The 23,130-nt window shown below is 38.6% G+C and overlaps 1 protein-coding gene across 6 annotated transcripts in view; it reads left to right on the forward strand.

The window, feature by feature from the left end:
* The window catches only part of PPP1R21 (protein phosphatase 1 regulatory subunit 21), a 74,621-nt gene that overhangs the window by 29,962 nt on the left and 21,529 nt on the right, over positions 1 to 23,130 (forward strand). For 5 of the 6 annotated variants that reach the window (NR_024188.3, XR_007069367.1, NM_001135629.3 and 2 more), the window contains exons 10-15: positions 360 to 461; positions 552 to 640; positions 3,956 to 4,092; positions 9,197 to 9,289; positions 15,904 to 16,031; positions 20,291 to 20,443. Coding sequence is in view for 4 of the 6 variants with exons in the window: in NM_001135629.3 (NP_001129101.1) it covers positions 360 to 461; positions 552 to 640; positions 3,956 to 4,092; positions 9,197 to 9,289; positions 15,904 to 16,031; positions 20,291 to 20,443 (702 nt within the window). In the remaining 2 variants the exon portion in view is untranslated. Of the gene's footprint in view, positions 1 to 359; positions 462 to 551; positions 641 to 3,955; positions 4,093 to 8,756; positions 8,830 to 9,196; positions 9,290 to 15,903; positions 16,032 to 20,290; positions 20,444 to 23,130 lie in introns of those variants that run through there. The other variant, XM_047443254.1, reaches the window with a different exon arrangement.

A 23,130-nucleotide genomic window follows, 5' to 3' on the forward strand; every position in this document is an offset into this window, starting at 1 on the left:
GAGAAGCAGGTGTTCAGGGAGGCTGACCTGTTGGTCCTAGGTTCTAATGCAGTATTCGCTCCCTATTTCCTCTGATGCCTGGTTATTAATTGTGTCACCCCTCTTCTAGTTCCTCGATTTAGAATGGGATAGGGACTTGGGGGTATCATCTGGGACTATTAGAGGGGAGCATCTGTGTTTAGCTTTTAAACCAAATTTCCAATAAAAGTTTCCAAAACTTGAGCACAGGAGTTTGAGGCTGCAGTGAGCCATTATCAGGTTTACAATTTAGGTTTATAATTTGGTGGGTCCATTTAGAAATGTGTTGATGTTTGTTATTTTCCAGTGATTTAATTCACAATACTTTCCCTCCTGTTTAGTTCTCACAATACCTTCATGAAAATGCGTCCTATGTCCGCCCTCTTGAGGAAGGAATGCTTCATTTATTTGAAAGTATCACTGAGGATACTGTGACTGTCTTGGTAATTTTCTTCCTTGTTTTACTTCTGGAAACTGGGAGCTCCTCTTTGTCCAGTAGCACTTTTAACCTTGAAATTATTTTTCTTTTCCAGGAGACAACTGTGAAATTGAAAACTTTTTCAGAACACTTAACCTCCTACATATGTTTTCTTAGGAAGATTCTTCCCTATCAGTTAAAAAGGTAGTTACCCCCGGAGGCCAGGGAACTTGGGGAATTGTGGGTGTAACCTGATCTGGCTGGCGTTAATAAAATATTAACATGTGCCTCTTGTGATCTGCCTGACTTTTCTGCTTCACAGTTAATTTGGACTTCCGTGAAAAAGGAAAAGCATGGTTGAGCAGCATTAACTTAAATTTAAGAAAGTTGAATTATAGTCTGTCAGTTACAGATTTTCAGTTGTTCTGTACTGTGGTTACCATTATCATCCCTTTGCAGTTAACACCTAGATGGGTGTTCATAATAGTTTCCTTCTACGTTAGGATCTATAAATTTTAGGTTTCTTTGAAATGGTGTATTTTCTTATTTTTGTTATTAGTGACTTGTTATAAACTAAAAACCTTATCTACTCTAGCCCTTACAGAATACGTCATTTAGTAACCTTTGATATTCTACTTTAAATATTTCTAGAAGGGCAGAAAAAATAATACGTATTATTAGAAATTTGATAATATTGCTTGTAAGTTTTGATACTTTTGGTTTACAACTACCAAGACACCTATTTCATTTAAATCTTTCCATTCTAAGATTTAGCCCTTTTTTAAAAAAATCAAGGCCGGGCGCAGTGGCTCACGCCTGTAATCCCAGCACTTTGGGAGGCTGAGGTGGGTGGATCACTTGAAGTCAGGAGTTCGAGACCAGCCTGGCCAACTTGGTGAAACCCCGCCTCTTCTAAAAATACAAAAATTAGCCGGGCGTTGTGGTGCATCCCTATAGTCCCAGCTACTTGGGAGGCTGAGGCAGGAGAATCGCTCGAACCTGGGAGGCGGAGGTTGCAGTGAGCCAAGATCGCGCCATTGCACTCCAGCCTAGGCAACAGAGCGAGACTCCATCTCAAAAAAAAAAAAAAAAAAAAAAAAAAAAATCAAAGAACAATACAACTGGAACATGAGAGAAATAATATTTTACAGTAAAATAAAATTTAGAAAATAAGTAGGTTGGCCAAGTGTGGTGGCTCATGCCTGTAGTCCCAGCACTTTGGGAGGCCAAAGAGGGTGGATCACCTGAGGTCAGGAGTTTCAGATCAGCCTTGCCAACATGGCAAAACCCTGTTTCTACTAAAAATACAAAAATTAGCCGGGCGTGGTGGTGCATGCCTGTAGTCCCAGCTACTTGGGAGGCTGAGGCAGGAGAATCACTTGAACCTGGGAGGCGGAGGTTGCAGTGAGCCAAGGTCACATCACTGCACTCCAGCCTGGGCAACAGAGTGAGACTCCGTCTCAAAAAAAAAAAAAGGTTAATTACTTACAGATACTGAAAATAGGCCAGGCATGGTGGCACATGCCTGTAATCCCAATACCTTGTGAGGTCGAGGCGGGAAGATCACTTGAGGCCAGGAATTCGAGAACAGCCTGGGCAGCATAGGGAGACCTGTCTCTACTGAAAATAAAAAGAAAACTAGCTGGAGGTGGTGGCCTGTGCCTGTAGTCCTAGCTACTTAGGAGGCTGAGATGGAAGAATCACTTGAGCCCAGGAGTTTGAGGCTGCAGTGAGCTGTTACTGCAGCCTGGGTGATAGAGTCCCTGCCTCTTAAAAAAAAAAAAAAGAAAAGAATGTATAAGTAATTATATCAGCCTGGGTGATAGAGTCCCTGTCTCTTAAAAAAAAAAAAAAAGAAAAGAATATATAAGTAATTATAAGTCCTTGTAAAACTAAAGTAGTAAGTTTGGCATTTAAGAAATATACAATTTTATTATTAAAAAAATTAATATATATTAAGAGACATCTTCTTTCCTAATTCTATCCTTACAAGATATTTCAGTAACAAAATTCTGTGATTTGTGCATATGATAGGATATTAGGAAATACTGGGAATCAGATAATTATGGCTTAAACTAATTATTATGAACTAATAGTTTTATTTTAGATCATTATATGTTATAGTTCTGTATAAAGATTTTTTGAAAATCGACTCTAGAGGTTTAACATTAAAGTTGAATGTAACTTTGATTTGGCTTATGTTTAAGAAGAATCTGTTTAAGAACCATTGCACAAGTATTTACTACTTGAAAGAGTTATGAATTTTATCTTGCTTCATTTTTTCCATGATTATGTTTTGTAAAACACTGGATGAATTCTTTCTTAAGCTAAGATTTCTACTTTTGGAATGTTCTGTCCCATATGCTTTCAGCCCTGCTTCACGAGTTATTAATATTTTTCAGCAATTTTGGGGGCATTGGTTTAAATACCACTTTAATTGACAAGATGACCTGTTGTTTAGTAGTAAATGGGCTTAGAATGGAATGAAGCTGTCTGCTATAAATAAAGTAGAAGAGAAGTTGCAATGGAGAGAGAATGGAAATGATTATGATTCCTATGCTACCTTTTCTGGCTTTGTCTAAAAACCTTTTTTTTTTGCTTGATTACCTCCACATTTTAAAATGAATAGTTAAGACACTACATTTTTTAAAAACCTTGTAATTAAGTTTTCCCAAGTAACTATTTAAAATTAAAAATGGTAAAATGCATTTTATGAATGTTAAGCGTTTACTTTTAAATTTGAGCCTCTAGATTGTAAATCTGTTTGGCTTTGGAAAAACTATGTGTACTGGAAAAGATTTTCTAGATTCTCTTGCTGGTGTCAGTGTTAATAATACCAGTTCCTGTTTAATTCATTTTCTTTAGGAATTTAGTCTGTGAAAATTTTTTCCTGTAAATATTTTAATGATTTTTAACATTTAGAATATTTAAAAATATGGCCGGGCGTGGTGGTTCATGCCTGTAATCCCAGCACTTTGGGAAGCTGAGGCAGGCGGATCACCCGAGGTCAGGAGTTCGAGACCAGCCTGACCAACACAGTGAAACCTTGTCTCTACTGAAAGTACAAAAATTAGCCGGGCGTGGTGGTGGGTGCCTGTAATCCCAGCAACTCAGGAGGCTGAGGCACGAGAATGGCTTGAACCTGGGATGCGGAGGTTACAGTGAGCCGAGATTGCGCCACTGTACTCGAATCTGGAGACAGTGAGAGACTCCGTCTCAAACAAAAAAGAAAAAGAACATTAGAAATATTCTAATGTTTTGTGTTGCTCTCAGGATGGAAAGATAATGGACATATGCCTTTATCTGTTATTCCATTTAGTCATCTTATATTCCATTGGTATTTGCAGCAAGCAGTGTATGTATCATGATGTAAAAAAATGGAGCCATGCAAATGAGATCAAATTCTTTTTTCTGCAATATCTCTCTTTGGATATAGTTGTTTGAGAACTTGGTTGGCTGCTAGTAGCTAATTGAAAATCGTTTGGGATGCTCACTTCTTAAAAATCTGCCTATTCCTAGTTTAGAAGAAGAATGTGAATCCTCTCTTTGCACATCTGCGTTAAGAGCCAGGAATCTAGAGCTGTCCCAGGACATGAAAAAAATGACAGCTGTGTTTGAGAAGCTGCAGACTTACATAGCTCTTCTTGCCTTGCCAAGTAAGTATGTTTGTTGCTTAGGGGTCAACTTCAAGGACTTAAGAGTACAAGAAGCTGGAAAAGGGAGATGGTTTAGCTAAGTAGAGTGAGAGGAGCATAGGATCTGGCATCAGGAAAACTTGAATTCAAATTCTCTAGCCCCTTATACATTTATGACCTTGGGCAAAGCTCTTGACCTCTCTGGACTTCTGGTTTTCTATTTATATAATGGAGTTAAATGTTGTGATTATTGAGTTAAATTAAGAACGTACGGCCAGGCTGGGTGACTCACACCTGTCATCCCAGCACGTTGGGAGGCTGAGGTGGGAGGATGGCTTGAGGTCAGGAGTTCAAGACCATCCTGGGCAGCACAGGGAGACCCCATCTCTACAAAAAATTTAAAAATTATCCAGATGTGGCAGCACTTCCCTGTAGTCCCAGCTACTCTGGAGGCTGAGGTGGGAGGATCACTTGAGCCAAGGAGGTTAAGGCTGCAGTGAGCTATGATCACACCACTGCACTCCAGCCTGGGTGACAAAGCAACACTGCTTCTGAAATAAATAAGTAATAAAAATAAATTATGTAAAATATCAGGCATTGAGCATGCATTAAATATTAATTCCTTTCCCTTCCTTCCTGTTTTTTGTATGGAAAGGAACACATCATAAGAATTTGTAGCAGCTTTCCAACAAGTAGCGTAGGGGAGCTTTAGTAGTAAAAATGCCATTTGTTCCCCTTTGGCCTAACTTCAAAAAAAGTATTTTCAGGGCCGGGCGCGGTGGCTCATGCCTGTAATCCCAGCACTTTGGGAGGCTGAGGTGGGCAGATCACCTGAGGTTGGAAGTTCGAGACCAGCCTGACCGACATGGAGAAACCTCATCTCTACTAAAAATACAAAATCAGCTGGGTGTGGTGGTGCGTGCCTGTAATCCCAGCTACTCGGGAGGCTGAGGCAGGAGAATCGCGTGAGCCTGGGAGGCAGAGGATGCAGTGAGCTGAGATCGTGCCATTGCGCTCCAGCCTGGGCAGCAATAGCGAAACTGTCTCAAAAAAAAAAAAGTATTTTTGGGTAACTGAATGGACCTCATTTTAAATGACATTTTTAAGAATGCCATAATTTTTCTGGTACTATGGTTTTTTTTAACAGCATTATTGTATAATTTATATACCATACAATGTATTAATTAAAGTTTACAATTCAGTGGTTTTTAGTATATTCACAGGAATGTGCATTGTCACTACAGTAAATTTTGGAACACTTTTATCACCCATAGAAGAAACCCTGTGTATTTTAGCTATTGCCCTCCCATTCCCCTGTTCCACCCCTCCCTAGCCCGTAAACCCTAGTAATTTACATTCTGGCTATATATTTGCCAATTCTACCCATTTCATTTAAATGGAATAATATGGTATGTGGTCTTTTCTGACTTCTTTCACTTAGCATCATGCTTTTTAAGATTCATAAAAGTTGTAGCATGTATCAGTACTCAATTTTTATTGCAGAATGCTATTATATTTTATGGATGTATCACATTTTACTTACCCGTTTGTCATGTAGTGGACATTTGGGTTGTTTCTACCTTTTGGCTATTACAAATAATGATGCTATTGACATTCATGTACAAGTTTCTTTGTGGACATCTCTTTTCATTTCTTTGGGGTGTATACCTAGGAATGGAATTCCTGGGTCATGTGGCAACTCTGCTTAACTGTTTGAGGAGCTGCTGGAGTGTTTTACAAAGTGCTGTACCATTTTACATTCCTACTAGCAGTGTATGAGGGTTCTAATTTCTCCACATCCTCTTCAGTGTTATTACTTGGTTTTTTGATTTTTAGCTATTCTGGTGGGTATTAACTGGTATCTCATTGTAGTTTTTACTTGCATTTTCCTGATTGCGAGTGATGTTGACTATCTTTTAATGTACTTATTGGCCATTTGTATATCTTCTTGGAGAAATATTTATTGAGATCTTTTCTCCATTTTTCAGTTAGGTTGTCTGTTTATTATTGAGTTATAAGAGTTCTTTATGTATTATACATACAAGTCACTTATTGGATATATGATTTGCAATATTTTCTTCCATTTTATAGGTTGTCTTTTAACTTTCTTGATAGTGTCCTTTGAGGAACAAAAATGTTCAATTTTGATGAAGTCCAGTTTCCCATTTTTGTTGTTGTTGTTGCTGATGCTTTTGATGTCATATCTAAGAATCTGCTGTCAAATCTGAGGTTATGAAGACTTACCCTGTGTTTTCTTCTAAGCGTTTTATAGTTTTAACTCTTACTTACACTTAGGTTTATGATTAATTTTGAATTAATTTTTTTTTTTTTTTTTTTTTTTTAGACAGAGTCTCACTCTATCACCCAGTCTGGAGTGCAGTGTCACACTCTCAGCTCGCTGCAAACTGCCTCCCGGATTTAAGTGATCTCCTGCTTCAGCCTCCCGAGTAGCTGGGACTACGGGTGTGCGCCACTGCACTTGGCTAATTTTTGCATTTTTTAGTAGAGATGGGGGTCTCACCATGTTGGCCAGGCTGGTCTCGAACTCCTAGCCTCAGGTGATCTGCCCATCTCGGCCTCCCAAAATGCTGGGATTACAGGCATAAGCCACCACACCCAACCTCATTTTAATTTTTGTATATGGTGCCTGTGCCTATGCAGTTGTCCCTGCACCATTTGCTGAAAAGCCTATTCTTTCCTTATTGAATGGTCTGGGTACCCTTGTGGAGAATCAGTTGACTGTAGATATATGGATTTATTTCTGGATTCTCAGGTCTATTTCATTGATCTGTCCACACCAGTACCATAATATCTTGATGATTGTTGCTTTATAGCAAATTTCGAGATTAGGAAGCGTGAGCCCTCCTACTTTTTTTTTTTTTTTCAAGATTGTTTTGGTTATTTGAGGTCCCTTGCAATCCCGTATGAATTTTAGAATCAGCTTGTGTTGATGTCTACAAAGAAGTCAGTTGGGATTCTGATAGGGATTGCATTGAACTTGTAGATCATTTTGGAGAGGGTTGTGAGTTGAATTGTGTCCCCCAAAATAATATGTGAAATTCTAACTGTCAGTACCTGTATGTGTGATCTCCTGTGGAGATGGGATCTCTGCAGATGTCATCAAATTAAGATGAGGTCATACTGGATTAAAGAGAGTCCTAAATCCAATGAATGGGATCCTTATAAGGAGAGAGAGATTTCGAGACAGAGACACACAGAATCTGGAGACAGAGATACAAGGGGGAAGGCCATATGAAGACAGATGCAGGGATTGGAGTTATGCTGCCACAGGCAAGTAACACCTAGGGCCAACAGAAGCTGGAAGAGGCAAGAAAGAATTCTCCCTTAGGGCCTTTGGGGAGAGTGTGACCCTGCCAACACCTTGATTTTGGACTTCTGGCCTCTAGAACTGTGAGAAAATAAATTTCTGTTGTGTTAAGCCACCTTGTTTGTGGTACTTCATTACAGCAGCACTAGGAAATTAATACAGGGAGTATTGCCATCTAAGCTTAGTCATCTGATTCATGAACATAGTATGTTTTTCCATTTATGTAGCTCTTTAATTTCTTTAAACACATCTTCTAGTTTTTAGCATGTAAGTTTTGTGCCATGATGTTGCTTCTCAAGGATTCAGCCTTGGGCATGCATACAGTCACCCTGAGATGACGATGGTGGCAGGGCTCTCCTTCACTGTCTCTTTCACTGATCACACCCAGGTTTAAGCTCTGCTGATTGCTGATTGATTGCTCTCATTTTCAAAATGTCGTGGGGCATCAATTGTCTATTCAGAGAATCAATTCAGTTTGGGCTCTTTTACGGGTATAGTTATAGACCTAGTGTACACCTAGCAGGTAGAGTTTTTTGAGATCAGTGTTTGCGCTTCATTCTGACCCCAGGAGGGCTCTTCTTAGCTATTTCTGTTTCCTGTTCTCTCTGGTAAACCAGGCAGCCCACAGTTTAACTTATATCGCTAATCTACCAATTTCTTCTTCATTGCTTTTACCACAGCCATAATTTTTTAGAGTACACCCTTAGGCTTGAACTTCTCCACACTGTATTACAAATTAAGTCAGTTCCTTAAGAAGAGATTAAGAGCTCTTGTTTTAAGGCTTGCTTATCTCCTGGGCTAAATCTCTATGGGCTAGGGACAGTGGTCATACTTTTCTCTAAGTGACACCCCCTTGTTAGAAACTGCGCCCTTAGTGGAGGGGGTAGGCAGCAGCCCCCGGTCTCCTTGGTCTGCCTCTTTCAGGGTGGAACTCCTGTTGATGAGCTGGGGCAAGGGTGATCAGGGCCCCACTTTTCTTGGCAGCACCACGCCCAAGGTAGAGCCTCCATCTTAGGAGTAGGGGCTGGGTGAAAGAAGGGGAACGTTCCCCGCCTCTGTCCACACTTGCTCAGAATTTAGCTTCAGCAACAGGTAGCTGGGAGCAAGAGGAGAAATCCAGACCTCTTTAGGAGTTGGGAGAGACGAAGTCCCGTGTTCTTGGCTATACCTATTGGGAATGGAATTTCTGTCTCCCTGAGCTGTGGGAGGGAGGTAGTGATTCTTGGTTTAAATACCGTAGCCTCTCACTGTTATTACTGAGTTGTTACAGATTTTCTTGAGTAAATCATGTGCTGTGTTGCCCTTAGAACCGTCTCCAGAGACTTTAAGTGATTGTCCTTTTTGCAAATTTTACCAGTTTTGCAGAGGGCAAGCAGGTCCACAGAGCTCCTCACGCTGACATGGCAGAAGCAGAACTCTGTGATATTTGGGTAAGAGTGTTTTAGCGATGTTCAGCAAATAATGTGTAGGGAATGAAAAATGCATTATATAATAACAAGGTAAACATTCACAAAGACTTTCGTTTTACAAAGAATCATGACAGACTTAATCCTGCTTAACAACTGAATTTTGTTTCTCAACCATTAAAAAATATTTGTGGACATAGGAGATGCAAATCATTTAGATGTGCTTATGTGTATCACCATTATGTCTGAATGTATCTGCCACGATTTTAAGAGGCATTATTTCTAGCACATTACAACCAATCTTCATTCTCTATCTTCCCAAAAGTAGAGGGATACAATGGGCAGTCCATTTTTCAGGAAAATGCTTAGATTTGTGATTTTGATTTCCTAGGTACAGAGCCAGATGGACTCCTTCGGACAAACTACAGTTCTGTGTTAACAAATGTTGGTGCTGCTCTGCATGGATTTCATGACGTTATGAAAGGTAGGCCTTGAAAAAGAACGTAAGCTTAAAACCTTTGCCCCACTTTCTTCGATCTGCCTGAATAAGATTTAAACAAACACTGCCAAGGGTAATAGACCCCAGATAAAGGCTTATTAGCATTTGGCTTATGTTGAGTGCACAGCTCACTGCCTTCTGCTTTTCCCATCTGTTTTATTTCTGGAGGTAAACAAAGTGCTGAAGAGAAATCCTTGTGTACAGTCCTTGTGTACAGTACTTTAGCCAGAAATACGTTACACTGACTTTAGGCAGGTGTGTGAATTGTACAAAACCAGACATGCTATTCAGAGGCCTTTTGCAAAATACGTTGCGCTTCTTAGAGCCCAAGCACAAAGGAATTGAGGAAACCAAGGCTTCAAGTCCCCAGAAGGAATACACTAACTTTCCACCATCCTGTGCATTTTAATATTTTAAATGCCTTTTAAAGTCCTGTCTTGTTGGGCATAGCCTTAAGAAATGAAAGTCTGGTTTTGCATTTTGGTCAGTTTTCAATTGCTTCTGTGCTCCTAAAAATGTAGTCTGCTGAAAGGCCGAGGGGAACCTTTTATTTCATATGCTTCTTAGCGTGTGATTCTGAGTCCTGACTAATCTACAACTTTGCAATTGCTTCTAGGTTTTTTTTCCCTTTCTTTTCCTTTTAGAGACTGTTGGGGTAGGGAAAGCAGGGGAAGGAGGAGACGGGCAGGAGCAATCTATTAAGGACTATTGGAAATAGTCCAGGTGCCTGGATGATTCATTGTTTTTAGTTAACAATTAGTGACCAATTACTAATTGCACAGAGAATAATTTTTAAAAACCTAAAGCTGTGTTTCATAACATGGATAAGAGGCATATATTGGGGGACCTAATCTGTGGCACTGGGATTCATTCTTAGTCTCAGCAGTGTTACCAAGCACCAGTTTACCATTCAGTCTACGGTATGGGCCTTTCTGTGGCTTGTATTCAATTATAAGGAACTTTATAATTTTTTCTGAGGTTCAGTTTCGCTTTATTGCCCAGGCTGGAGTGCAGTGGTGTGATCTCCGCTCACTGCAGCCTTTGCCTCCTGGGTTCAAGTGATTCTTCTGCCTCAGCCTCCCAAGTAGCTGGGATTACAGGTACACACCACCATGCCTGGCTAATTTTTGTATTTTTAGTAGAGATGGGGTTTCGCCATGTTGGCCAGGCTGGTCTTGAACTCCTGACATCAGGTGACCCACCTGCCGTGGCCTCCCAAAGTGCTGGGACTACAGGCGTGAGCCACTGGGCCTGGCCCCAATTATAAGGAACTTTGAAAGTCACTGTACTTACAGAATTAGCCTTGGTTTCAGAAATCACAACTTGGATAGGCAGTATGGGTGGCAGTTAACAATATTCAACTCCAGTCCTGCAGAATTTAGTTTGGTCTATAGAAAAATCCAAGAGATGGTGCTTTTTTCCTGTGAGGCTTTTGGTTTGAGGAGCTAAGACTTAGTCGTAGTCCTCTCTTCCAGAACTTTACTTAACGTAGAACCAGTTTGAAACCACAAGTACCTCTGTGGCTACAAGTTTTTTAGTTTTGTTTTAAAATTTTTCCTCTGCTGGCTGGGTGCAATAGCTGACGCTTATAATCCCAGCATTTTGGGAAGCTGAGTGGGAAGATCACTTGAGCCCAAGAATTTGAGACTAGCCTGGGCAACATAGGGAGACCCTGTCTCTACAAAATGAAACAATAAAATAAAAAAAAAATAAATTTTCTTATGCTAATACAGGTTGAGCATTCTTAATACGGTAATCTGAAATCCAAAATGCTTCAAAATCTTAAGCTTTTCAAGTGCCATCATGACACCATAAGTGGAAAATTCCGCACTTGCCCTCACGTGACATGATAAAGTTGCAGTCAAAACTTAGTTTCATGCACAAAATTATTAAAAGTATCGTACAAAATTACCTTCAGGCTATATGTATAAGGTATATATGAAACATAAATGAATTTCTTATTTAGACTTGGATCCTGTCCCCAAGATACCTTCTTATGTATATGCGAATATTCCAAAATCTGAAGAAATCTGAAGTCCAAAACACTGCTGGTCCTAAGCTTTTTGGATAAGGGATTCTTAATCTATTGGTTGATAGGTTGGTCTCAGTGTAAACAGAGGGATTTATAAAAATATGTATCCTACATGGAATTAAAACAGGAGTGACTCAATTATTTAACAAGTGGCATTTTGTTTTGTAAAAGAGGAGTATATGTAAAGTCACCTCCAAATGTTAAAGGAGCTGAGAAACCAAAGAAGGAGGCAGACAAATCCACTTTGTTGGTATAGGGTGATTTATTGGGGTATCTTATAGACAGAAGAATGGTCTTGGGGCAGTCATAAGACGGGAAGGTCTTAGTACTGCAACCTCCCAGACCCAGAGCTTATATCTTGAGGGAAAAGTACATGTGCTCTGGAAGGAATGTGTAAGTGGGTATAGCATCACAGCCTATGATTTTTTATAACAGTATCAAGGGTTGTTTTGAAGGAAACTTATTGTGAATACATGTTTTTATATAAAGAGTAATATATCATCTAGACATTTTGGAGGTATTCCCAGATTCAGGGTCAGCCAGAAGTTACATGGCAGATTAGCATTTAAAATAAAGACACTGTTTTTTTTTTTTTTTTTTAGGATGTCTACTTTATTCTAAAGTGACTATAGTCTGTAGTTGTAATTATGAAAATATATAGACCAACGTTTCCCAAAGTTTAGTGTGTATACACATCATCAGATGACTTTTTTTTCCCCTCAACTTTTAAGTTCAGGGGTAAATGTGCAGGATGTGCAGGTTTGTTACATAGTTAAATGTGTGCCGTAGTGATTAGCTGCACAGATCATCCCATCAACTAGATAGTAAGCCCAGCATCCATTTGCCATTCTTCCTGATGCTATCCCTCCTCCCATCCCCCACCCTCCATCAGGCTCCAGTGTGTCTTGTTCCTTGGCATGTGTCCATGTGTTCTCATCATTCAGCTTCCATTGACAAGTGAGAACATGCAGTATTTGATTTTCTGTTTCTGCGTTAGTTTGCTGAAGATAATGGCTTCTGGCTCCATCCATGTACCTGCAAAGGACATGATCTCGTTCCTTTTTATGGCTGCATAGTGTTCTATGACGTATACGTACTACATTTTCTATAAAATAAAGATACTTTTTTTTCCTTTTTTTTTTTTTTTTTTTTTTTTGAGACAAGTCTCACTCTGTCACCCAGGCTGGAGTGCAGTGCAACCTTTCCCTCCCAGGTTCAAGCGATTCTCCTGCCTCAGCCTCCTGAGTAGCTGGGACTACAGGTGTGCGTCACCATGCCGGCTAATTTTTTTGTATTTTAAATAGAGACAGGGTTTCGCCATGTTGGCCAGGCTGGTCTCGAACTCCTGACCTCAAGTGATCCGCCTGCCTCGGCCTCTCAAAGTTTTGGGATTATAGGCGTGAGCCACTGCACCTGGCCCAATGTCAAAATCCTAAAATTCACAGGAAACCATAAAAGGGGCCTGAATAGCCAAAGCAAACAGCACAAAGCATAAAGCTAGAGGCATCACGTTAACTGACTTGTACTGCTTTATAAGCTCATTTAGCAAAGTAGTGCACATAGTATTTTACCCTTCTCTACCCTGTTCCTTGTAATGCACAATGAGAAACAGAACAGAGTACACATTGTTCCAACCCAAGTGCTGGGATTACAAGCGTGAGGTACCGCGCCTGGCCAAGAGTGTCTTTATTTTAAATGCTAATCCACCATGTAACTTCTGACTAACCCTGAGTCTGGGAATGCCTCCAAAATGTCAATTTAGTGTATTACTCTTTCTTATTTTTAATTTTTTAAATTTCTTTTTTATAGAGGTGGGGTCCTTCTATATTTCCCAGGCTGGTCTCAAACTCCTGGACTCAAGTGATCCTTCTGCTTCGGTCTCCCAAAGTGCTGGGATTACATGCATGAACTACCGTGCCCAGCCTAATGTATTACTCTTTATATAGGAATACCTATTCACTGTAAGATTCCTTCAAAACAAACTTTGACGCCATAACAAAAATCATAGGCTGTGACTCCTGTAGCCACCCACACATTCCTTTCAGAACACGCATACTTTTTCCCCAAGATATAAGCCCTGCGTTTGGGGGTTTGCCATGCAGAGATCTGTTTTGCAGCCACCCAAGACCATGCTTGTGTCTGTAAGTTCCTCCTAATAAATCATCCTATACCAATAAACTGGATTTGCCTGCTTCCTTCTTTGATTTCTTGGCTCCTTCAGCATTTGGGGGTCGTGTTGCAAATACAGCCCTTTCAAGGAGCATATTCTAAGTGAGAATTGTTTGATCTTTAGTCTCAGAGGTCTGAAGTTGGTAGACTCGTGGGAAACATAAAAGGAAAAATAAATCTATGGTCTAAGTCACATGATTCTTTTGTACATTTTGGAGTTAAAATTTAATGTCAAGAAACACTCTAAATAATTAAAATCTTTGGACTAAATAAAGAATAAACTTTTTTTTTTTTTTTTTTTCTGGACTGATTCTTGCTCTGTTGCCCAGGCTGGACTGCAGTGGCATGATCTTGGCTCACTGCAACCTCCCACTCTTGGGTTTAAGCAATTCTTATGCCTCTAGCACCTGAGTAGCTGGGATTACAGGCACATGCCACTACACCCAGCAATTTTTGTATTTTTAGTAGACACGGGGTTTTGCCATGTTGGCCAGGCTGGTCTTGAACTCCTGGCCTCCAGTGATCTGCCCACGTCGGTCTCCCAAAGTGCTAGATTACAGGCATGAGCCACTGCATCCTGCCAAGAGTAAACATTTTGATTGTGAGAATGACTATAATCAAGCTACAATAGCATTGTTCTTAGTATTGTACTTTTTTCATGAGTACCTCAATTACCATCAACCAAGATTGCTTACCAACCAAATTGTATTATTATAACATTGTATATACTTCCAGTGAAATATTGAATAAAACTGTCTGTGATGTGTAGAAAGAAAATGTCTGTTAGGGATGAGCAATTCAGTATACAAAAAGCATTCAGTACTTACAGACTGTTGGTGGGAATGTAAATTAGTTCAACCCCTATGGAAAGCAGTATGGAGATTTCTCTCATTTTTAGAGTTCTGAAAATAGAATTACCATTCGACCCAGCAATACCCACTACTGGGTATTAACAATCCCACTACTATGTTCACCATTTGGGTGATGGGCTCAATGGAAGCCCAAACCCCAGTATTACACAATATGCCCGCATAACAAACCTGCACATAAACTCCCTGCCTCTAAAATAAAATGTAAAAAAAAAAACAAAAAGCATTCAGCATCCTAATTGAATTTTTATACACTTGGACATCTTATGACTATGTTGAGCATAATCATTTCTTTTCAAAAATATATTGAATGTAATAGTAATTTGCCAATTGGTTGGTTCCTTTTCTGTGACAACTGTACCATAGTAATATGTTAACAGTAGGAAAAATTGGCTAAAGGGTGTAATGAAACTCCATACCTTTTCTATAAGTCTAAAACTATCCTAAATCAAAGACGTATTTATTACAAGTGTATATAAATATAGGAATATATTAATAATTTTTAAATTCCCTAGTTTTAAAATGTTAGTGAAAATAATCTCATTCATGGACCATAGTAATTTTGAGTTAAAACATCATGATCACTTCAGGTTAAATCTCAAATACTATTTCTTTTCAAATAGTCTTATTTCCTCCATTAATTATCTATAGTCTAAAACAATCAACAAAATTTCTTGATTCTAAATTAATGAAATTGTTTGTACAGAATTGCTATAAAAATTTTCATGTTTTGTGATTGACATATATATAGTTGTATATATTAACTAATATATACAATTGTATATACTAACTAATATATACAATTGTATATACTAACTAATATATACAATTGTATATACTATATATAATTGTATTATATATAGTTTTATATATTATATTAATATATACAATTATATATAATATAATTAATACATATGTGTATATATGTATACCTCTTCTATGCTTTCCTAACCACAGGCCTTTATTGTACTATTCTTGGACTGGAGACAGTTGCATAGGAAGTCAGGCACTGGGGCGTCCAATCCGTATTTGGCTGTGCAGATACTTCTCATTGCTAGTTAGGGTGTGCACTAGGAAACTAGCTATAGCCCAGTAAGGACTGTGAGACAGTGTGGTTGTGTTGGCTATTCCTTTCCAGCCTGGTGGGTTGTTTATATAAATACAAGATAATTTCTCCTCAATGCCTGTTACACTATCAAAACAGTGGTTTTTAACTGGTAAATAGTGGTTTTTAACTGGTAAATACAGGATCATTTACCCAATGTTAGAATTAATACTCCGACGAGGAAATCTTGGTGGCTGTAGTAAAGATAGCCAAGATGGTGTTCAGAGATCCTTACTTCTCTCTGTTCTTTCCATGTAGATTTGTGACCTAATTGATACTCAGTGCAATCCTGACACTTGAGACCATTCTTTGTCAAATTTACTTTATAAATTTAGAAGAATAGATAGGAGAAGTGAATGGGCTGGTTATCTGTATGTGACTTATATATAGATAATAATGAATTTTCATGTAATTGCTTTTATAGATATTTCCAAACATTATAGTCAAAAAGCTGCAATAGAGCATGAACTTCCAACAGCAACACAGAAGCTGATAACAACTAATGACTGTATCCTGTCATCAGTAGTGGCATTAACAAATGGAGCAGGAAAGGTAATTCTCTTCTGGCGTATATTGATGTTAAAACTCTTAAATATGTGCTTTTTTTCTGAGGGACATAGGAAAATGGATCTGTAAAAGGATTTTGTAATATAAGGGTTTACTGTAAAATAAAGTTGTCTCTCTTTCCTCTGCTTCCTACCCAGTATGTACTCTGACTTATTATTTTAAGAGAGGGATCTCTCGCTATGTTGCCAGGCTTGACTCAAACTCCTGGACTCAGGGGAGTCTCCTGGGTGGCGGGGACTATGGGCACATGCACTGCATGCTGCTTTCCTACCTAATGTTTAAAGCAATGTGACAGTGACTGTTTAGCATTTGTCTTGGATGTGTAGATCACTCCCTGTTTATGTTTTAATGCAATATTGGATGATTAGAAGATTCTAGGTAGTCTCAATATAGATCGTTGTGTATATGAAGGGTCTGCCATATAGAACACTGGGAACATACAAAAAAAGAAAACAAACCCACCACAATATACGTTCCATTAATACTTTGGGTTTTTTCCTTCTAGTGTTTTTGTATGTTTCTTTTTTGGTAATACTTGTGATAATACTACCTCTGTGGTTTTGTATCTAAACAAGTACTTTGAAGTGACTTCAACATGTGTCTTTTCGTTGAACCTTTAATAGTAGGTCATGATCGTCTGGATCATTAAATACTTAATTTTCACTATAAACTAACTAAAGTGCAGTTTCTTTAAGAATCCTTTGATAAGCCAGGTGCTGTGGCTCACACCTGTAATCCCAGCACTTCGAGAGGCTGAGGCGAGAGTATTGCTTGAGCCCAGGAGTTCAAGACCAGCCTCAGCAACATGTCAAGACCTCATCCCTACAAAATTAAAAAATTAGCCAGGCATGGTGATGTGCGTCTGTGGTCCCAGCTACTTGGGTGGCTGAGGTAGGAGGATTGCTTGAGCCCAGGAGGTTGAGGCTGCAGTGAGCCGTGTGTGAGCCACTGCACCCTATCCTGGGTGACAGAGCAAGACCCTATCTCAAAAAAAAAAAAAAAAAAGAATGTTTTGATCATGGATATTCCTGTTTCAGCAGAAGTTATATTCTCAGAGTGTGCGTTCATGTGGCTGTCATCAACAACTTTAATGATTAAGATTTTTCTGAGAACATCCTACATGTATAAAACCAAAAGGACTGTATTCAGAACTATCTTAGCCCATTTATTGCAGCAGACTCAGCATGACTTCCAAAGGAAATGCTTATCTCTGTGTCTGTCTTTATATACTATTCTGCTTCTGACAGGTTAACCATAATAGGAACAAATATTCTTCAAGTGATTTGCAGTAGTCAGAAATGATCATAGATCATGTTAGACATTTCAGTGTCATATTTCCAAAGTTGGACTGGCTTTGTGACCACTTGCTATAGCTTGGGGTCATGATTAAAACGTGTTATCTTTAGGTTCTGTCAGCTTACAGATCTATGTGCAAAGGATTCCTGAGCCAGAGGACCATCCCCACTGCCTCCCCTTTCACCTCCTTCATCCACGGCATGCCAGATGCTTTTGGAGGATAATCCTAACTGATTCAGTTAAGAAAAATTCTGAAAAGAGAGAATGTTGGTATTTTATGAGTCTCTGTATTTGCCAACTTTTTTTTTTTTTTTTGAGACGGAGTCTTGCTCTGTTGCCCAGGTTGGAGTGTAGTGGCATGATCTCAGCTCACTGCAAGCTCCACCTCCCAGGTTCACACCATTCTGCCGCCTCAGCCTCCCGAGTAGCTGGGACTAAAGGTGCCTGCCACCATGCCTGGCTAATTTTGTTTTTGTATTTTTAGTAGAGACGGGATTTCACCATGTTAGTCAGGATGGTCTCAATCTCCTGAGAACTCTGAAATAATTAAATACTTGCATACGTCATAGTTTATTTTAGCTTTACTTTGCCTGAAACCGTAAAATGTCATCTCAAGGAAAGATATCTGATCTTCACTCTGGAATTTTAATAAATGGTTTTCAACCAAAATATTTGAACTAATGTTAGTTGGTATCAGCTTAATATTAAATACTTAGCTGATATGATTTGATTAACCTAATTTTACAGTTTGTAATTTCCATTAAGAACCCAGTAGGAAAGTGTAGTATATTCATATTAAAGAAAGTTTGGAAAATGTAGAAATATTAGAAAAAAGAAAAGAAACCTCACAATGTACTACCATGATCCAAATGCAAACACTGTGTGAATCCATGTCATTCACAAGGACTATATATAGCTCAAGATTTTTGGTATCCTTACTTTACTGAATACTACCTAACGTAGAATTTCATTTGATATAGTAAAATATCAGTGAAAAATATAACCTTTCAGACCATTAGTGATTAACTTTTGACCAATTTTTGCCAAAGTAGAATACTCTGTTTTACAGATTACTTTTTAAAATTTATCAAAATACAATATTCTTTAATGTATACAAGACTGTAACTTTTCTGGCTAAAGCATTTAGCCAGACATTTTTATTTATATCAGCATTTCATATAGCACTGAAGAGGCTGAGGTGGGAGTATTTATTGCTTGAGCCCAGGAGTTCAAGACCAGCCTGGGCAACATGGCAAGACCTCATCTCTACAAAATTAAAAAATCAGCCACACATGATGGTGTGCGTCTGTGGTCTCAACTACTTGGGAGGCTCAGGTAAGAGGATTACTTGAGCCCAGGAGGTTGAGGCTGCAGTGAGTCCTCCTACCTCGGTCTCCCAAGTAGCTGGGAACACAGACGCACACCACCATGCCTGGCTAATTTTTCAATTTTGAAAAGATGAGGTCTTGCCATATCGCCCAGGCTGGTCTTGAACTCTGGGCTCAAGCAGTACCCCTGCCTCAGCCTCTCAAAGTGTTGGGATTACAGGCGTGAGCCACTGCACCTGGCTTATCAAAGGATTCTTAAAGAAACTGCACTTTGGGCTGGGCACGGTAGCTCACCTGAGGTCACGAGTTTGAGACCAGCCTGGCCAACATGTTGAAACCCTGTCTCTACTAAACATACAAAAATTAGGCTGGGTGTGGTGGCTCACGCCTGTAATTCCAGCACTTTGGGAGGCTGAGGCGGGAGGATCACGAGGTCAGGAGTTTGAGACCAGCCTGGCCAACATGGTGAAACCCCGTCTCTACTAAAAGTACAAAAATTAGCTGGGACGTGGTGGTGCACAACTGTAATCCCAGCTACTGGGACAGCTGAGCCAGGAGAATGGCTTGAACCCAGGAGGTGGAGGTTGCAGTGAGCCGAGATCGTGCCACCGCCCTCCAGCCTGGGTGACAGAGCAAGACTCTGTTTCAAACAAACGAACAAAAATACAAAAATTACCCGGATGTGGTGACGGGCACCTGTAATCCCAGCTACTCAGGCGGCTGAGGCAGGAGAATTGGTTAAACCCAGGAGGCAGAGGTGGCAGTGAGCTGAGATTGTGCCACTCCACTCCAGCCTGGGCAACAGAGTGAGACGCCGACTCAAAAAAAAAAAAAAAAAAAAAGAAAGAAAAGAAAAAAAGAAACTGCACTTTGGTCAGTTTGCAGTGAAATTAAGTATTTAATGATCCAGATGATCATGACCTACTATTACAGGTTCAATGAAAAGACACATGTTGAAGTCACTTTAAAGTACTTGTTGAGATACAAAACCACAGAGGTAGCATTATCACAAATATTACCAAATGCCACAGATTCAAAATCATGGCTTTGAAAGTGATAGATCTTTGTGGCTGCTTACATAGAGTTAACAAATGTTAAATCTGTAAATAACAGTCCACTGAATTTTCAGTCTTTTTTTTCTATATTTGTAATTTTTAAATTGAGATTTATAGAATTAAATTTAAATGGAAGTTACATATTCAAGATACTATGTTATATCTTCTGTTAGAATATGAAATATTCAAAGTTAAAATATGGAATCTAGAAATCCGAACATGGATATTTTGAGAACAGTGGCAGAAATCAATGAGGTAAAGAGCTCATGAAAGTCACCTACAGAATAAATGAGTATCAGTCTTGGTTTTCAGGAAGAATAGAAATTGTCTAGAAAAGGACATGTCAGAAATTTGTTCTGACTATTTATACTGGTGTCCTCTTTTTATTATAAACCATTGCCTAGGTATTCTCAAATAAATAAATGTGGACTTTGGGGCAGGTGTTGAAATTTCATTTCCATTTCCATTCTCAACATCTTTAAACTTTGCTGCAAAAACTATTAGATATATATTTTAGATATATTGTTGGAAAACAAAATCTATTTCCTTGTCATACTTTGTTTAGATTGCATCCTTCTTCAGCAACAATTTGGACTACTTCATTGCTTCACTGAGCTATGGACCTAAGGCAGCGAGTGGATTCATTAGTCCTCTTTCAGCTGAATGCATGCTACAGTATAAGAAAAAAGCTGCTGCCTATATGAAGTCTTTGAGAAAGGTTTGTTAGCTGCTGTTAATATTTAAATCAGAGGAAACATCAGGAGTCATTCTAGAGAATGGCAAGAGTTTTTCTGCAGTTTATATTGTTGACTTTTTATACGATATTGGGGTACAGGTTGTTGGTGGGTGTTGGGGGAGGGCTGTGGGGAAGAGGAGGTGACAGGACCCAGACTTTACCTGAGAAGCAGCGTTGCCTATATTCGTAGGCCATGTTGGACTCATGTCCCAAGTGCCTGATAGAGCGCCTGGGGTGAGGTAGCCAGCCAAACAGTAAATATTGAACTTCAGAGACTCTTAAACTTGTAGAAACAGAAAAAAAAGAAATATGTGTATGACTTTTTTCTGAATAAGAATATGCAGTTGTTGCAAAAAAAAAGAAAAAAAAAAGAGAGAAGATACTGCAGTATATTAAGAAGAAAATTGTGGTCACCTGTAATCCTACCACCCAAATGTAGCTATAATTGACTTTTTTAGAAAACAATATATTTATATCCAAAAAATGTTATTATATGTTTGAGTGCACATGCACACACATACTATAAAAAGCAGAATGTATTTAGGTGCATGTACTGTTTTAGAATATTTTTTTCTCTTAATGCATTGAGGATATATTTATATATATCTCAAAAATTGTATCTATAAAATACATGACTCAAGGGACATCATTAAAAAAGAATGAAAGAAATAGGAATAATAAAATATAAAATATAAATTACTATGTTTTTATTTTTTAGCTGCTCCTTGGGGAGCAGGACTACTTATAGACAGTGCACCCAGAGCTGCCAGCTGTCATCATTTATTTATGGTGTTTCCTTCTGTAAATTTATAATTTAATTCATTGCTGGTAGATATTTAAGTTGTTGCCTGTTTTTCACTGTTACAGTGGAGTGCTACAGTGGATATTCTTGCACCTGCAATTTGTGCATTTTACTTTTTTCTCATCTTTAAACGTTTTAACTATGCAGTGCATAAACACATTCTTATATTAAATTAGATCATTACAGGTAAATTATAATCCCTAATTCCAGTTCCTCTCTAGAGGTAACCATAATTATCAGTTTGATGTGTAACCTTTCAGGCTCTTTGAGCATTTATAAGCATGCAATCTATAAACAAAGAATTTTTCTTCCTTCCTTCCTTCACTTTTCTTTTGTTCTTTTCTCCTTTTCTCTTTTCTTGTCCTTTTTTCTTCCCAAATGCATGTTTCATTTTGCAATTTGCTTTTTTTTGTTTAAAATAATGACTTAGAGACTGTCTATGTCATTTCACGTGGAACTCACTAGGTTCCTTTTAGATACGGCATAGAATTCTATAATATGGATGTTCCATAGTTTGTTTAGGTTTCCCTTAATTGGTAGGCATTTAGGTTAATTCTACTTTTTTACTGTTACAATAATACTGCAATGGATAGCCTTGTAAATGTTTCCTTAGGCACATGGGTGGAATATGAGAAGTAGAATGTTGTAGGCCATGTGGCTTGTGCATTTTAAGTTTTAATAGTAGTTGCTAGTTGTCCTTCAAAATGGGCACTCTGAAGGATACTTCCCACGGTATAAAAGCTACCTATCTCCCTATGTGAATTGCTGGTTCAAAGTCTGTGAGTGTTTCAAATTTTGGCATGTTTTTCCAGACTATACTTCAGGAAGGTTACCTATTTATAGTTTGCCTGTAGTAGAAATATGAATTTAACCCATGCATTTAATATTTATCAATCTCAGGAGAGGTTTCTTGCTGTTGTTTTGGTTCATATGTATATATTTGCTTGTTAATGAGGTGGAACATCCTTTCATAGTTATCACTTGTGTTTATTGTATAAATTCTCTCTTTAGGTCATTTACCTTTTTTTTTTTTTTTTTTTTTTTGAGACGGAGTCTTGCACTATCGCCCAGGCTGGAGTGCAGTGGCATGATCTCGGCTCCGCCTCCCGGGTTCACACCATTCTCCTGCCTCAGCTTCCCAAGTAGCTGGGACTACAGGTGCCCGCCACCACACCCAGCTAATTTTTTGTACTTTTAGTAGAGACGGGGTTTCACCATGTTAGCCAGGATGGTCTTGATCTCCTGACCTCCTGATCCACCTGCCTCGGCCTACCAAAGTGCTGGGATTACAGGCGTGAGCCACTGCGCCCGGCCTTACCTATTTTTAAATAAATGTTTCTAATTAGGGTTGAAAGAGCTGTCTCTGTATTAAGAATGTTAATTTTGTGTTTATGTGGGAAATATTTTTCCCTAGTTTGCTGTAATAGTTTTTCAAAATAGAAGTTTTTATTTTTGTATCATCAAATAGGTCTTTTTCTTCATGGTGATCATTCTTAGCCAGGGTTGATTTCCAAGGTAGAAACATTCACGTGTATTTTCTTCCAGCATTTTTACAGTCTCAATTTTTACATTTGGACAGGCAGCCTGTAGTAGCTGGAAAAAAATACATAAATAAATAAATTTTTAGATTTGGATCTTTAATTCATCCAGAATTTATTCTGATATAAGATGTCAAAGAAGGATCTAAATAATTATTTTTTTTCAATAATTAGCTGGTTGTCCTTGTACCGTTTATTTAGTCCATCTTTTCTCCATTCAGTTAGAAATGCAATATTTGCCACATAATAAATTTTTATGTATGCTTTTGTTCGTTTCTGGATATTTTATTCTGTTCTTCATCTATTTTGGTGCAAGTCCTTATGGTTTT

This window comes from Homo sapiens, chromosome 2 (assembly GCF_000001405.40).
Source record: "Homo sapiens chromosome 2, GRCh38.p14 Primary Assembly".
NCBI classification, from domain to species: domain Eukaryota; kingdom Metazoa; phylum Chordata; class Mammalia; order Primates; family Hominidae; genus Homo; species Homo sapiens.